The sequence below is a fragment of the Homo sapiens genome, chromosome 7 (assembly GCF_000001405.40).
Source record: "Homo sapiens chromosome 7, GRCh38.p14 Primary Assembly".
Lineage (NCBI taxonomy): Eukaryota > Metazoa > Chordata > Mammalia > Primates > Hominidae > Homo > Homo sapiens.
Genome location: NC_000007.14, coordinates 73,129,977 through 73,147,489, shown reverse-complemented (window position 1 = coordinate 73,147,489; position 17,513 = coordinate 73,129,977). Strand labels below are relative to the sequence as shown.

Here is a 17,513-nt window from a genome sequence, read left to right as displayed (position 1 = left end):
AAACCAAAAAACAAAACCCAGCTGGGTGCAGTGGCTCACGCCTGTCATCCCAGCATGTTGAGGGGCTTGAGTTGGGCAGATCACTTGAGGTCAAGAGTTCGAGACTAACCTGGTCAATATGGTGAGATCCCGTCTCTACTAAAATTACAAAAAAATTAGCTGGGAATGGTCGCATGTGCCTGTAATCCCAGCTACTAGGGAGGCTGAGGCAGGAGAATCACCTCAACCTGAGAGATGGCGGTTGCAGTGAGCCAAGATGGCGCCACTGCACTCCAGCCTGGGTGACAGAGTGAGTGAGACTATGTCTCAAAGAAAAAAAAAAAAAAGAAAAGAAAAATCTCCAAGTATGTTTGGAAGAGGTTGACCAACTGCCCTGATTTTCCTGGGACCAAGGAGAATTTCAAGATGTAAGACTTTCATTTTTGAAACCAGGACATTCTCCAGGAAGACAAATTGGTCACAGGACTTTGAAACAATTTACTTATGTAAATCTATGAACTCTAAATACAGATCGAGTATTGTGAATGAAAATTAAGCATCCAAACTGAGATGTGCTATCATGTGTAAAATGAACCCTGGATTGCAAAGATTATTATGAAAAAACTTCAAAGTATTTTATTAATAATTTAAAAATATTGATTATATGTTGAAACACTTTTTTTTTTTTTTCTGAGATGGAGTCTCACTCTGTCACCCAGGCTGGAGTACAGTGGTGCAATCTTGGCTCACTGCCACCTCTGCCTCCTGTGTTCAAGTGATTCTCCTGCCTCAGCCTCCTGAGTAGCTGAGATTACAGGCATGCGCTACCACGCCCAGCTAATTTTTTTTTACAGCAGAGACAGGGTTTCACTGTGTTGGCCAGGCTAGTCTGGAACCCCTGACCTCAAGTGATCTGCCCGCCTCGGCCTCCAAAGTGCTGGGATTACAGGCGTGAGCCCCCGCACCAACTTTTTTTTTTTTTTTTTTTGAGATGGAGTCTTGCTCCCTCGCCCAGGCTGGAGTGCAGCAGCACCATCTTGGCTCATTGCAACCTCTGCCTCCCGGGTTCAAGCGATTCTCCTGCCTCAGGCTCCTGAGTAGCTGGAGCTACAGGCGCGCGTCATCATGCCCAGCTAATTTTTGTATTTTTGGTAGAGACGGGGTTTCACCATGTTGACCAGGCTTGTCTCGAACTCCTGACCTCAGGTGATCTGCCTGCCTCAGCCTCACAAAGTGCTGGGATTACAGATGTGAACCACTGTGCCTGGTCAAAATGCTAATATTTTGGCAGCACTTTGGGAGGTCGAGGCAGGCGGATCACTTGAGTTCAGGAGTTTGAGACCAGCCTGGCCAACATGGTGAAACCAAACCCCATCTCCACTAAAAATACAAAAAAATTAACTTGGTGTTGTGGCGGGCGCCTATAATCCCAGCTACTCAGGAGGCTGAGCCAGGAGAATTGCTGAAACCTGGGAGGCAGAGGTTGCAGTGAGCCGAGATCATGCCACTGCACTCCAGCCTGGGCGACAGAGTGAGACTCTGTCTCAAAAAAAAAAAAAAAAAAAAATAGCAGAGTGAAGTCAGCACCCAATTCAACATGGCAGGTTCTAGAGAGGTTCAAATCATGATGGGGCTGGGTGCGATGAGGGGAGGTCTCTTCTGTTACAGGCTACCGTTAGTCCACACTTGGTCTGACCTAGTGGCCTTCTGTGCATGGCGGCCGCCCGGCATAGATTTTGATGATTTCCCATGTCACAAGCCTTGTCTTCACAAGGTGAGCTTCTGCAGCCTCCCTGTGGCTAAGATGCAGGCACATCAGAACTGTGTATGGCTCAGGTTCAGAAGTGAGCACAAGGTTCATGGATGGGATTTCAGAGAAGGCAGCAGGGATTTGTCTGGTAACAATTACTGTATACTACATAGCTCACACTTAGTGGAGAAAAATGACAAAATAGCCCGGTGCAGTGGCTTATGCCTCTAAGCACGGTGGCTCATGCCTGTAATCCCAACAACTTGGGAGGCTGAGATGGGAGGATTGCTTGAGACCAGGAGTTTGAGACTAGCAAGATCCTGTCTTAAAACATTTTTTTAAAAAAATAGCTGGGGATGGTGGCGCACGTCTGTTGTCCCAACTACTTGGGAGGCCGAGGCAGGAGAATCACTGGAACTGAGGAGTTCAAGGCTGCAGTGAGCTGTGATTGCACCACTGCACTGTTGTCTGGGCAGCCAGGCAAGACCCTGTCAAAAAGAAAGAATGAAAGAAAAGAAAGACAAAAGAAAGAAATGAAAGGCCAAAGAAAGAAAAGAAAGACGAAAGAAAGAAAAGATGAAAGAGAGAGAGAAAGAGAAAGAAAGAAAGAAAGAAAAAGAGAAAGAAAGAAAGAAAAGAAAGAAAGAAAGAAAGAGGAAAGAAAGAAAGAAAGAAGAAAGAAAAAGCAGGAAGGAAGGAAAATAGGACATGACATTATATTAACTCATTAATTCTTCTTTTTTTTTTTTTTTTTGAGACGAAGCCTCACTCCATCACCCAGGCTGGAGTGCCGTAGCACAATCTCAGTCACTGCAACCTCTGCCTCAAGCAATTCTCATGCCTCAGCCTCCCGAGTAGCTGGGATTACAGGTGCACACCACAATGCCCAGTTAATTTTTTTTTTGTATTTTTAGTAGAGACGGGGTTTCACCATGTTGGCCAGGCTGGTCTGGAAGTCCTGATCTCAGGTGATCCTCCCGCCTCGGCCTCCCAAAGTGCTGGGAGAATTCTTTTTTTTTTTTGAGACAGGGTCTCACTCTTACCCAGGCTGGAGTGCAGTGGCGTCATCACGGTTCCCTGCAGCCTCAAACGATCCTCCCACCTCAGCCTCACAAGTAGCTGGGTCTACAGGCACACACCACCACACCTGGCTAATATTTGTATTTTTTGGTAGAGATGGAGTTTCATCATGTTGCCCAGACTGGTCTCAAACTCCTGATCTCAAGTGATTCTCCCACGTCTGCCTCCCAAAGTGTTAGAATTACAGGTGTGGGCCACCATGCCTGGCCTGAACTCACAAATTCTATAGGTTGCTAATTCAGACAGGGCCTGTGAGAACAGTTTGTCTTTGCTCTGTGGTATCTGGCCTTTACTTGGAAAGACCTGAATGCTGGCGGTGATTTGGATGCCTGGGGGCTGGGGTCGCCTGGAAGCTTCTTTACTCTGTGTCTGAAGCCTGGTTGACGGGTGCCTCTCTCCATGGGGCTAGGGCTTCTCACAGCTTGGCAGCTGGATTCCCAGAGAGGATATCGCAGGGAGAGTCTGGAGAGCAAATGTGCCAAGAAAGTCAGCTGGAAGCCACATGGCCTTTTATGACCTAACCTCAGAAATCAAGCTGGGTGCGGTGGCTGCTGGACGCGGTGGCTCAAGCCTGTAATCCCACCACTTTGAGAGGCTGAGGTGGGTGGATCATTTGAGACCAGGATTTTGACACCAGCCTGGCCAACATGGTGAAACTCCGTCTCTACTAAAAATACAAAAATTAGCTGGGTGTGGTGGTGCGTGCCTATAATCCCAGCACTTTGCGAGGCTGAGGTGGGCAGATCACTTGAGGCCAGGAGTTTGACACCAGCCTGGTCAAGATGGTGAAACTCTGTCTCTACTGAAAATACAAAAATTAGCCAGGCGTGGTGGTGCATGTCTACAGTCTCAGCTACTCGGGAGCTGAAGCATGAGAATTGCTTGAACCCAGGAGGCAGAGGTTGCAGTGAGCCGAGGTTGCGCCCCTGCACTCCAGCCTGGGCAACGGAGCAAGACTCCATCTCAAAACAACACACAAAAAGAGAAATCATAGGGATGTCACCTGCATGGTATTCTCTGGGTTGAAACAGGTACAACCCCAGCTTGAGTTAGGGGAGGGGGCTGATATAGTCTGAATATTTGTCCCCTCTAAATCTCGTGTTGAAATGTGATCCCCAGTATTGGAGATGAGGCCAAGTGGGAGGTGTTTGGGTCATGGGGGCAGATGCCTCATGAATGGCTTGGTGCCCTCCCTGTGGTAATGAGTGAATTCTTGCTCTATTCACTCATTCTTTCAAAGAGCTGGATCTTTGAAAGAACCTGGCATGTCTGTTGCTCACCACGTGATCTTGTCGGCCCCCCTTCATCTTCCACTATGATAGGAAGCTTCCTGCGGTCCTCACTAGCAGCAGATGCTGGCACCATGCTTCTTGTACAGCCTGCAGAACCACGAGCCAAATACACCTCTTTTCTTTATAAATCACCCAGCCTCAGGTATTCCTTTATAGCAACAAAAACAGACTAAGACAGGGTCATAGACCCTGCTTCTTGATGGAGGAGGACAAAGTTACTTTGCAGAAGAGCATGTTGGATGAAGTTACTTTTGTAGCCATTTTGGGAAAATACAACTTGACATTTAGAAAGGTGAAGTCCTGCAGAAGGTGTGGCTGTGGAAGCTGCCACAGCTTCATTTTCTTCCTTCCTTCTTTCCTTCCTTCCTTCCTTCCTTCCTTCCTTCCTTCCTTCCTTCCTTCCTTCCTCCCTCCCTCCCTCTCTCCTTCCCTCCCTCCCTCTCTCTCTTTTTTTTTGAGACAGAGTCTTGCTCTGTTGCCCAGGCTGGAGTTCAGTGGTGTGATCTCAGCTCACTGCAATCTCCGCCTCCTAGATTCAAGTGATTTTCATGCCTTAGACTCCCAAGTAGCTGGGACTACAGGCGCCCACCACCACACCCGGCTAATTTTTGTATAGCGGAGATGGGGGTTCACCATGTTGGCTAAGCTGGTCTCGAACTCCTGACCTTAAGTGATCCACCCACCTCAGCTTCCCAAAGTGCTGGGATTACAGGCATCAGCCACTGTGCCTGGCCCACAGCTTCATTTTCTTATCAGGACAGTTCTGCCCCATGGTGCTGGGTAAGGGTCCTATAACTTTAAGCCTAGACTTTATTTCTTCAGCTTTCCAAAAGATCCTGTTCTCTGTTCAATGTTTTAAAATTAAGCTTTTTGGCCGGGTACTATATAGCTCATGTCTGTAATCTCCGCACTTTGGGAGGCCAAGGTGGGAGGATCGCTCGAGGCCAGGAGTTTGAGACAAGTTTGGCCAATACAGTGAAAGCCTGTCTCTATAAAATAAATAAATAAAATTAGGCTTGTTATCTTAAGATAATTGTAGATTCACTTGCAATTGTAAGACATTAATACCCAGAGAGCCCTCGTGCCCTTCATGCAATTTCCCCCAATGGTAACAGCTTGCAAAACTGTAGTACAATCTCACAACCAGGAAATTGCCTTTGATACCATCCACTGAACTTATCCAGGTTCTACCAGTTTTACATGTAATTGTGCGTGTGTGTTTAGTTCCATACAATTTACTCAGTACTCTAAAAATAGACTCTTCATCTTACAATGGTTTTAAATTTACAGAAAAATTGTTAAGACAGTAGGATTCGCATATATCCTGTACCATTTCCCCCTTTTATTAACATCTTGCACTGGTATAGTATATTTGTTACCGTTAATGAACTGAAATTAATACATTGTAATTAACTTAAGTCCATACTTTAGTTAGATCTCCTTAATTTTTACCAATTTCCTTTTTCTTTTCTTTTTTTTTTCTTTCTTTCTTTTTTTTTTTTGAGACGGAGTTTCACTCTTGTTGCCCAGGCTGGAGTGCAATGGCGCGATCTTGGCTCACCGCAACTTCCGTCTCCCGGGTTCAAGTGATTCTCCTGCCTCAGCCTCCCGAGCAGCTGGGATTACAGGCATGCGCCACCACCCTGGCCAATTTTGTATTTTTAGTAGAGACGGGGTTTTCTCCATGTTGGTCAGGCTGGTCTTGAACTCCCGACCTCAGGTGATCCACCCACCTCAGCCTCCCAAAGTGATGGGATTATAGGCGTGAGCCACCGCGCCTGGCCCAATTTCCTTTTTCTGTCCGAAGATCCCATCCGTGACACCATGTGACAGTTAGTAGTAATGTCTTCTTGGGCTCTTCTTGGCTGTGATAGTGTACAAAAAAAAATTAATTTTCTTTGAGACAGTCTCACTCTGTCACTCAGGCTGGAGAGTAGTGGTGTGATCATAGCTCACTGCAGCCTCAATCTCCTGGGCTCAAGTGATCCTCCCTCCTCAGCCTCCCATATTTTTAATACAGACAGGGTTTCACCATGTTGGCTAGGCTGGTCTTGAACTCCTGACCGCAGGTGATCTGACCTCAGGTGATCTGCCCGCCTCAGACTCCCAAAGTGCTGGGATTACTGGTAGGAGCCATCACACTTGGCCAGTTTACTTGATGTTTTAAAAATAAATTCCTCTGCTATGTAAACTGACCAGAATGGATTCTGTTGATTGCAACTAAGACCCATAACTGATGCAGTTGGCATTCAAGCCTCACGCCGGCTAATTTTGTCTGTGTGTGTGTGTGTGTGTGTGTGTGTGTGTGTGTGTGTGTGGTAGAAATGGAGTCTTGCTATGTTGCCCAGGCTGGTCTCAAACTCCTGGCCTCAAGTGATCCTCCTGCCTTGGCTTCCCAAAGAGCTGGGATGACGGTTGTGAGCCACCACACCTGGTCAGTTTACTTGACATATTAAAAATAAATTTCTGGCCAGGTGAGGTGGCTCACACCTGTAATCCCAGCACTTTGGGAGGCCAAGGGGGGTGGATCACTTGAGGTCAGGAGTTCGAGACCAGCCTGGCCAATATGGTGAAACCCCATCTCTACTAAAAATACAAAAATTAGCTGGATATGGTGGCACATGCCTGTAATTTCAGCTACTCGGGAGGCTGAGGCGGGAGAATGGCTTGTACCCTGGAGGCAGAGGTTGCGGTGAGCCAAGATCGTGCCACTGCACTCCAGCCTGGGCGATAGAGCAAGAATTCATCTCAATAAATAAATAAATTCATTCATTCATTTCTTTGCTATGTAGACTGACCAGAATGGATTCTGTTGCTTGCAGCTAAGACCCATAACTGATGTACTTGGCATTCAAGGCTCACTGTGGTGTGGTCTTTGCTTATATCTCTGGTCCCATCTGCCACCATTCCCAGCCTAGTACTTTACCCTCCAGTGAAAGATCTCTCTCCCTCTTCCATACTCTCTCATGGCCTCTGACCCTTGTACAGGCTGACAGATCCATATTTATTTCACCTCTGTCATCACCTCCTCCGGGAAGCTTTCTGTGATTTTTCCCAGCAGTGTGGGGTACCTGCCTCTCATCTGTATGTCCACAGTTCTTTGGGGCAGGGCCATATGCTCGTTAAGATCATGGTCTCTGGCCAGGTATGGTGGCTCATGCCTGTAATCTCAGCACTTTGGGAGGCCAAGCTGGCGGATCACTTTGAAGCCAGGAGTTCAAGACCAGACTGGCCAATATGGCAAAACCCCTCTACTAAAAATACAAAAATTAGCTGGGTGTGGTGGTGTATGCTTGTAATCCCAGCTACTTGGGAGGCTGAGGCAGGAAAATCACTTGATCACTTGAACCTAGGTGGCGGAGGTTGCAGTGAGTGGAGATTGTACCACTACACTACAGCCTGGGCGACAGAGACTGTCTCAAAAAAAAAAAAGGCCGGGCGCTGTAGCTCACGCCTGTAATCCCAGCACTTTGGGAGGCCTAGGCGAGCAGATCACAAGGTCAGGAGATCGAGACCATCCTGGCTAACACGGTGAAACCCCGTCTCTACTAAAAAATACAAAAAATTAGCTGGGCATGGTGGTGGGTGCCTGTAGTTCCAGCTACTCTGGAGGCTGAGGCAGGAGAATGGCGTGAACCCAGGAGATGGAGCTTGCAGTGAGCCGAGATCGCGCCACTGCACTCCAGCCTGGGCAACAGAGGGAGACTCCACCTCAAAAGAAAAAAAAAAACACAAAAAACAAACAAACAAACAAAAACAAAAAAAGGCCAGGGGGCGTGGTGGCTCATGCCTGTAATCTCAGCACTTTGGGAGGCTGAGGTGGACAGATCATGAGGTCAGGAGTTCGAGACCAGCCTGGCCAACATGGTGAAACCTTGTCTCTACTAAAAATACAAAAATTAGCCAGGTGTGGTGGCGGGCGCCTGTAATCCCAGCTACTTGGGAGGCTGAGGCAGGAGAATTGCTTGAACCTGGGAGGCGCAGGTTGCAGTGAGCTGAGATCGTCCCATTACACTCCAGCCTGGGTGACAAGAGCAAGACTCCATTTCAAAAAAAAAAAAAAAATCGTGGTCTCTGATGTCAGACATAGCTGAGTTCTGACACTGCCTTCTTCTAGCTGCGTGGTTTTAGGCATGTTGTTTATTTTTTATTTATATTTTTATCTTATTTTATGATTATTTTTATTATTATTTTTTGACAGAGTCTCGCTCTGTCACCCAGGCTGGAGTGCAGTGGCGTGATCTCAGCTCACTGCAACCTCTGCCTCCCAGGTTCAAGCAATTCTCCTGCCTCAGCCTCCTGAGTAGCTGGGACTACAGGCGCATGCCACCACACCCAGCTAATTTTTGTATTTATAGTAGAGACGGGGTTTCACCATGTTGGCCAGGCTGATCTTGAACTCCTGACCTCAAGTGATCTGCCTGCCTTGGCCTCCTAAAGTATTTTATTATTTATTTTTTTACAAAAGAGATGGAGGTTTTACTAAGTTGCCCAGGCTGGTCTTGAATTCCTGGACTCAAGCAATCCTCCCGCTTTGGCCTCCCAAAGTGCTGGGATTACGGTCATGGATGTGATTACCACCACACCCGGCCTGAACACACTGTTTAATCTCTGTGAATGCTCTTTTCCTCCTAGGTAAAATAGCATAATAAGAGTTCCTGACTCATAGGTTGCAACAAAAACTGAAGAAAATGCTAAAAAGCACACAGCATGGCTGGGCGCAGTGGCTCAGACCTGTAATCTCAGCACTTTGGGAGGGTGAGGTGGGTGGATCACGAGGTCAAGAGATTGAGACCATCCTGGCCAACATGGTGAAACCCCGTCTCTACTAAAAATACAAAAATTAGCTGGGCGTGGTGGTGCGCGCCTGTAATCCCAGCTACTCGGGAGGCTGAGGCAGGAGAATCGCTTGAACCTGGGAGGCGGAGGTTGCAGTGAGCTGAGATTGCACCACTGCACTCCATCCAGCCTGGTGACTTGAGTGAGACTCTGTCTCAAAAAAAAAAAAAAGCAAACAGCACACAAATTAGGCCCATGGTCAATGTTAGCTGTGGTCATTCCTATGGTCATGCCCAGAAGCCCTGACCTGTCATTCATCGCATGAAGTTGAAATGGTCCGATTCCATGGGGGCTGTCACTTCCCTTATACCAGTTGCTTAGCTCCAGGATGGCAGAGGCCACTCCTTTTTCATCTTTCTATTCTCAGAGTTGACCTAAAAATAGGTGTTTGTCAAGTGGCCTAAATGGATTACCCACCCCAGCTCCTGTAGTTCCTGCCACATGGGACACCATGAGAATCTTCTTTTCTAGCTCTGTGCCAGGAAAGCTTTTGCTGCCTCCGAAGACCTGGGAAGTTTTCTCCTTGGGGACAATTAGGCAACATGGCTCAAGGGCTGCTGCTGGTATCTGGAGTCTGTTAGCCTGGGTCCCTTCCCTTCCCCTTCCCTTCCCCTTCCCTTCCCCTCCCCTTCCCCTTCCCTTCCCCTCCCCTTCCCCTCTCCTTCCCCTCCCCTTCTCCTCTCCTTCCCCTCCCCTTCTCCTCTCCTTCCCCTCCCCTTCTCCTCTCCTTCCCCTCCCCTTCTCCTCTCCTTCCCCTCCCCTTCCCCTCTCCTTCCCCTCCCCTTTCCCTCGCCCTCCACTCCCCCTTCCCCTCTCCCTCCCCTCCCCCTTCCCCTCCCCCTCCCTTTCCCTTCCCCTCTCCCTCCCCTCCCCTCCTCTTTCTTTCTTTCTCTTTTCTTTCTTTCTCCTTTCTTTCTTTCTTTCTTTCTTTCTTTCTTTCTTTCTTTCTTTCTTTCATCTCTTCTTTCTTTCTTTCTTTCATCTCTTCTTTCTTTCTCTTTCTTTCTCTCTCTCTTTCTTTCCTTTTTTTTTTGGAGTCTCACTGTGTTGCCCAGGCTGGAGTGCAGCAGCACGATCTTGGCTTACTGCAACCTCTGCCTTCCAGGTTCAAGCGATTCTCCTGCCTCAGCCTCCCAAGTAGCTTGGAGCTTGGACTACAGGCGCCTGCCACCTCGCCCGGCTAATTTTTTGTATTTTTAGTAGAGACGGGGTTTCACCGTGTTAGCCAGGATGGTCTCAATCTCCTGACCTCGTGATCCACCCGCCTCGGCCTCCCAAAATGCTGGGATTACAGGCGTGAGACACCACACCCAGCTAATTTTTGTATTTTTAGTAGAGATGGAGTTTTACCGTGTTGGTCAGGCTGGTCTTGAACTCCTGACTTTAGATGATCCATCCACCTTGGCCTCCCAAAGTACTGGGATTACAGGCATGAGCCACTGCACCCAGTCTAACCTGGGTTTCAATCCCAGCTGTGTGGCTTGCATCCTGTGTGAACCTTGGTGGAGTTATTTCCCTCTCTGTGCCTCATTTCCTTATCTGCTAGTTTGGCCTGACACACAGGACCGGCTACATAATTTGCAGGGCCCGTTCCAAAATGAAACTTGAGGGCTCTTGTTGAAAAATTATTAAGGATTTCAAAATGGCCACCGTACAGCATGAAACCGAGTGTGTAATTGCATGGCTCATGCCCCCTGAGACCGGCTCTGCTGACACTCACCCAGAGTGCATGCTGGTTTTTTCCTATCTTGCTCAGTGCTCTGTCCACAGTCCCTAGAACAGTAGGTACAGACTGAATACATGTTTATTGAATAGGCCGGGTGCAGTGGCTCATGCCTGTAATCCCAGCACTTTGGGAGGCCGAGGTGGGAGGATCACTTGAAACCAGTAGTTCAGGACCAGCCTGGGCAACAAAGCAAGACCCCATCTCTACAAAATGTAATAATAAAAAAAGAAATCAGCTGGTTGTGATGACAGGTGCCTCAACAACTCAAGAGGCTGAGGCAGGAGGATTGCTTAAGCATAGGAATTTGAGGTTGCAGCGAGCTATGCTCCTGCCACTGCACTGGAGCGTGAGTGAAACAGCCAGACTCTATCTCTAAAAGAAAATATTAAAATTTAAAAAAAATTAGTTGGGTGTGGCAGCACACACCTGCATCCCAGCTACTCAGGAGGCTAAGGCAGGAGGATCACTTGAGGCCAGGAATTGGAGGTTGCAGTGAGCTGTGATCACACCACTGCACTCCACCCTGGGTGACAGAATGAGACCCTATCTCTAAAAAAAAAAACCAATACAACAAAAACAAACAGATGTCAAAGGAGGGGCTCAAACAAATATAAATTAAAAACAGAAAGAAAGAAAGAAAGACATAGGCCAGGCACAGTGGCTCACTCCTGTAATCCTAGCACTTTGGGAGGCCAAGACAGGTGGATCACATGAGGTCAGGAGTTCAAGACCAGCCTGGCCAACATGGTAAAACCCCATCTCTACTAAAAATACAAAAATTAGCTGGGTGTGGTGGCGCATGCCTATAATCCCAGCTACTTGGGAGGCTGAGTCAGAATTGCTTGAACCCGGGAGGTGGAGGTTGAAGTGAGCCGAGATCACGCCATTGCATTCCAGCCTGGGCAACAAGAACAAAACTCTATCTCAAAAAAAAAAAAAAAAAAAAAAAAAAGACCGGGTGCGGTGGTGGCTCATGCCTGTAATCTCAGCACTTTGGGAGGCCGAGGTGGGGGGATCACGAAGTCAGGAGATTGAGTCCATGCTTGCTAATTTGGTGAAAACCCGTCTCTACTAAAAATACAAAAAATTAGCCCGGCATGGTGGCAGGTGCCTGTAGTCCCAGCTACAAAAATTAGCCAAGCATGGCAATGCATGCCTGTAATCCTAGCTACTCGAGTGGTGGGGCACAAGAATCTCTTGAACCCAGGAAGCGGAGGTTGCAGTGAGTCAAGATTGCACCGCTGCACTCCAGTCTGGCCAACAGAGTGGGATTCTGTCTCAAAAAAAAAAAAAAGAAAAGAAAGAAAAGAGAATGCCTTTAGGAAAGGAAAGCCTCAATGCTCTTCCTGGCACACAGTAGATGCTCAGGAAGTATCTGTTGAATGAATGAATGAATGAATGAATGAATGAATGAATGCGTGGACAAAGCAATTCTTTGGCAGTCTTGCTTAAGGGCAGGCTCCCTTTGTGGCTTGTATTCTGTACTCTTTCCTGACTTATGAAGGAGGAAAGGAAGGAAACGGGTGTGTGTCCAGGGCTTCTCCTTGGTGCCCGTGGGTACATTGTTGCGTCTGATCCTCTGGAGAGGTAGGGATTCATGTGCCCTTTCTACAGATGGGGAGACTGAGGCTAGAGGAGGTTAGGAGGAAAGGTGCACGTGGACCCAGCTTTCCTTGGGTCTCCCCAGGGCTGCCCCAGGGCTGAGCAGGCAGAGGTGGTGAAGGAACACCTATGAGTCAGATCAGTGAGGGAACACTAGGCACCATGGTGAGGATGACAGCTCCAGGCTGTCCATAGGCAAGGCTGCAGCAGGACAAGAGGCCACTCAGTCTTTCCCTCCTATCTCTCTCTGCACCTGGGCTCACTTCCATCTGCCTCTTCTCCTCTCCTCCCCACTCCTCAGCTTGTGCCCTTTCAGCATTTTTTTTTTCTTTCTTTTTGGTCTTAATCCATGGCTGAGGACTTGCCTGTGCGGTTTCTGTTGCCCAGGCTGCAGTGCAGTGGCATGATCCTGGCTCCCTGCAACCTCCGCCTCCTGGGTTCAAGCAATTCTCCTGCCTCAGCCTCTCAACTAGCTGGAAATACAGGTGCATGCCACCAAGCCTGGCTAATTCTTGTATTTTTAGTAGAGACGGGGTTTCGCCATGTCAGCCAGGCTGGTCTTGAACTCCTGACCTCAAGTGAGCTGCCCGCCTCAGCCTCCCAAAATTCTGGGATTACAGGTATGAGCCATTATGCCTGTCCTGCCTGCACGGTTTCTTTCTTTCTTTCTTTCTTTCTTTCTTTTTCTTTCTTTCTTTTTTATTATACTTTAAGTTGTAGGGTACATGTGCACAATGTGAAGATTTGTTACATATGTATACATGTGCCATGCTGGTGTGCTACACCCATTAACTCATCATTTACATTGGGTATATCTCCTAATGCTATCCCTCCCCCCTCCCTCCACCGCACAACAGGCCCTGGTGTGTGATGTTCCCCACCCTGTGTCCAAGTGTTTTCATTGTTCAATTCCCACCTATGAGTGAGAACATGCGGTGTTTGGTTTTCTGTCCTTGCGATAGTTTGCTCAGAATGATGGTTTCCAGCTTCATCCATGTCCCTACAAAGGACATGAACTCATCCTTTTTTATGGCTGCATAATCCATAAATGGATTTCTTAATCCAGTCTATTATTGATGGACATTTGGGTTGGTTCCAAGTCTTTGCTATTGTGAATAGTGCCGCAATAAACATACGTGCCTGCCTGCACAGTTTCTAAGAACCAAAAGGTTGACCTGGTGGAAGATAGAGGTTGCAGGCCCTCCACACCCCTGCTACTCATACCTCCATGCTTCAACTTTTCCATCTATAAATTGGGGTTGTTATAAGGATTCTGGGTGATGTGTGTTGGTTCTGAGTACAGTTCTGGCCAATGGGAAGTGCCCAACAGAGGAAAATTGTTGTTGTTATTATTTTGCCTGTTCCTAAGCCTAACCCAACAGAAGCTCTTTAATATTCTGGAAACTGGGATGGCACAGTGGCTCATACCTATAACCCCAGCATTTTGGGAGGCCAAGGTGGGAGGCTCACTTCAGCCCAGGAGTTTGAGACCAGCCTGGGCAACCTAGCAAGACCTTCTCCCTATGAAAAAATAAAAAAGTAGCCAGGCACAGTGGTGAGCACCTGTCGTCCCCCAGTGGCTTGGGAGGCTGAAGTGGGAGGATCACCTGAGCCTGGAAGTTTGAGGCTGCTGTGAGCTATGATGGCACCACTGCACTCCAGCCTGGGTGACAGAGCAAGAAATTATTATTATTATTATTTTTAAGTGGCCAGGCATGGTGGCTCATGCTTGTAATCTCAGCACTTTGGAAGGCTGAGATGGGAGGATTGCTTGAGCCCAGCAGTTCAAGAACAGCCTGGGCAACATAGTGAGACCCCTTCTCTAAAAATAAAATTAAATGTTTAAAAATCTGGAAACTAATTCTGGAGAGGACTGGAGTCTGAGATTCTGAAGGTTTATTTTGGATACATTGTACCTCAATTTTATGATCACGAAAATGCAAGTCTCTGCATGTCTGACCCCCAGGAAGGTGTTGAGATGTTGGTCATTTGAGTCAGTGGACAGGAAAACCAGGGGTGAATCCTGTAGAATTTACACAGGGCCAAGTTTGGATGGTAAGCCCAGGGAGGGCAGGGCTGAGACGAAGCATGGCCTTCCCCAACATGATGTTCATTTAAGGTTTGTGGAGTGACTCACGATGCATAGGTGGTGACTGACCACTGGTGAGTATACTGGAGCTAGAGAATGACCCCATGTCCTAAGCAGCCCCAAAATTTCTTGGCAGGTCACAGCAGAGGGAGCTGTGCCCAGGGAATCTTTTTGGACATTGCAAAGATGATTTTTCTCTCTTGGGAACGAGTCTGATCTCTTTAACTCCTTTGTGAAGATGCCAAAAACATCTGCAGTGGACACTGCTGGAATTGCTCATGAGATGTAAGCCACGTTTCAGAGAAAAGAGCAATCTATCAGAGGATATTCCTTCCAGCAACTGAGAACCTTTCAGAGCTTGATTGCTGTGAATGCTCCAGCCTTTCCAAAGTGTTTTACGCCACTCTCAAATGAGATAACGAAGCACTTTAATTTACTGTTCAACTCCCAAACAGAGTGAGTGGGTAAGGCATCATCCGCACCCCAGGCCTAAGGAGATAGAAGGCTGGAACCAGGCTCAGGAGGCCACACTGAACCCAGCATGTTGTCAATGGTCCTCAGATCTATTTTTTTTTTTTTTTTTTTTGAGACAGGGTCTTGCCCTGTCACCCAGGCTAGAGTGCAGTGATGTGATCATAGTTCACTGCAGCCTCAAAATCCTGGATTCAAGGGATCCTGCTGCCTCAGCCTCCCGAGTAGCTGGGACTACAGGCACATACCACCATGCCTGGCTAGTTTTTTTCATTTTCTTTAGAGATGGAGTCTTGCTATGTTGCCCAGGCTAATCTTGAATTCCTGATCTTAAGCAATCCACCCACCCTGGCCTCTCAAAGTGCTGGGATTGCAGGTGTGAGCCACTGTGCCCAGCCTCTTCCTAGCTCTTGGGTCCCTCTTGCAAACTGACCCATGGGAACAACTTTGCTGGGCCTCTGAATTTGACTAAATGTCCTTAAATTCTGTGGACAGGATCAGAGTTTAGATTAAAGTGAGGACATCTCCTTCCCTTCCTTTTTTATCCTCCACTACAATCACAATCTCTGTCATTTTATGAGAGGGAAACTGAGGCTCAGAGGAGTTGAGTCACTCCCTTCGGAGTGCAGAGTTAGGTCACAAAAGACTAAAATTAGATCCAGGTCTGCCTGGCCTTCCACTACTCTAGAGGCTGCTCCAGAGGGGTTCCCTTTTGTCTCACGAAGGCCTGGAGCCACTTGGTCACCCTCTCTAGAACTTCCCTCCAAGAATATGAAAAGGCATTCTTCCTCATTCATGGCAGATGCAGATGAAAACACAAAGCGTAAGGCTAGGTGTGGTGGCTCGTGACTGTAATCCCAGCACTTTGGGAAGCTGAGGTGGGGGGATCACTTGAGGTCAGGAGTTTGAGACCAGCCTGACCAACATGATGAAACCTCGTCTCTACTAAAAATACAAAAATTAGCCAGATGTGGTGGTGCACACCTGTAGTCCCAGCTACTGGGGAGGCTGAGGCAGGAGAATCACTTGAACCTGGGAGGTGGAGGTTGCAGTGAGCCGAGATCGCACCATTGCACTCCAGCCTGGGTGACAAGAGTGAGATTCTGTCTCAAAAAGGAAAAAGAAAAATAAAAAGAAAGCACAAAGTACAGCCCTACTGTGGCAGAGTGCAGAGGCACATGGTTCACACCACCTTCCATGAAGGGTTTGTGGCCCCTCTGTGAATGCTGTCCACAGGAACTGTCTCAACTACAGGGAACTCCTTCTCCCAATATCCCATGGCCGTGGAAGGGTGGAGGTCCAACCACCTTGGCCAAGCCTGGACAAGTGTGAATGGCTGTTTCAGCTCCTGTTCTCCTGGGCTCAGTGGAAGCTTACCTTCTCACCATTTCTCCATTGCTTGCTCCTGCTTCCTTCTGGCCTCTTGCTCTCAAGAACACCTTTTTTTTTTTTTTTTTTAAAGAGACAGTGTCTTGCTCTGTCACCCAGGTTGGAGGTGCGGTGGTGCAATCATGGCTCACTGCAGCCTCTTAACTCCTGGGTTCAAGTGATCCTCCTGCCTCATCCTCCTGAGTAGCTAGGACTACAGGTATGCACCATCATGCCCAGCTTTTTTATTTTTTGTGGAGGTGGGGGTCTTGCTATGTTGCCCAGGCTGGTCTTGAATTCCAATTCCTGGGCTCAAGCAATCCTCAGCTTCCCAAAGTGCTGGGATTACAGCCATAAACCACTGTGCCTGGCCTTCAAGGGCACTGCTTAATAAATATCCTGCTTGCTCAATCCATCTCAGAGCGTTTCATGGGGAACGTCATCTGTGAGGTTGCACATACAACCTGTGCATATGTATCAAAACATCCCTAGGTACCCCATAAATATGTGCAATTCTTATTTGCAATTGAAACAAAACAGGCTGGGTGCAGTGGCTTATGCCTGTAATCCCAGCACTTTGGAAGGCTGAGGCAGGCAGATCACTTGAGGTCAGGAGTTTGAGACCAGACTGGCCAATGTAGTGAAACCTTGTCTCTACTAAAAATACAAAAATTATCCAGGTGTGGTGGCACATGCCTGTAATCCCAGCTACTCAGGAGGCTGAGGCAGAATTGCCTGAACTCAGGAGATGGAGGTTGCAATGAGCCAAGATTGTGCCACTGCATTCCACCCTGAGCAGCAGAGTGAGACTCCATCTCAAAAACTAAACTAAACTAACTAAATAAATAAAACAAACAAAATCTTGAAAAAATTAAAGAATTTTATCTATCTAAATTCCCCTTTCCTTCTCCCTAACACGAAAAGCTCTATCCTGTTAACCATGTTTTGAAACTCCATAAACCAACACATACATGGTTAGTTGATTTTTTTTTTTTTTTTAATAATAGAGATAGGGTTTCAACATGTTGCCCAGGCTGGTCTTGAACTCTTGGGCTCAAGCAATCTGCCCACCTCAGGGTCAGCTGGTTTTTACAAAATGGCAAAGACAATCAAATGGATAAATGGTAGTCATGTCAACAAATGGTGTTGCAGCTGGGCATGGCTGCTCACGCCTGTAATCCCAACACTTTGGGAGGCTGAGGCAGGAGGATGGCTTGAGGCCAGGAGTTCATGACCAGCCTGGACAACATAGCAAGACCCTGTCACTAAAAAAAAAGAAGCAGCAGCTGTGTGTGGTGCTATGTGCCTGTAGTCCCA

The 17,513-nt window shown here is 47.6% G+C and overlaps 1 protein-coding gene across 2 annotated transcripts in view; it reads left to right on the top strand.

The window, feature by feature from the left end:
* The window catches only part of SPDYE10 (speedy/RINGO cell cycle regulator family member E10), a 51,424-nt gene that overhangs the window by 7,942 nt on the left and 25,969 nt on the right, over positions 1-17,513 (top strand). The window contains exon 2 of one of the 2 annotated variants that reach the window (NM_001382504.2): positions 12,796-12,888. The exons of the other annotated variant lie outside the window; for it this stretch is intronic. The gene's annotated coding sequence lies outside the window, so the exon portion shown is untranslated. The remainder of the gene's footprint in view (positions 1-12,795; positions 12,889-17,513) is intronic. 2 annotated transcript variants of the gene reach the window in all.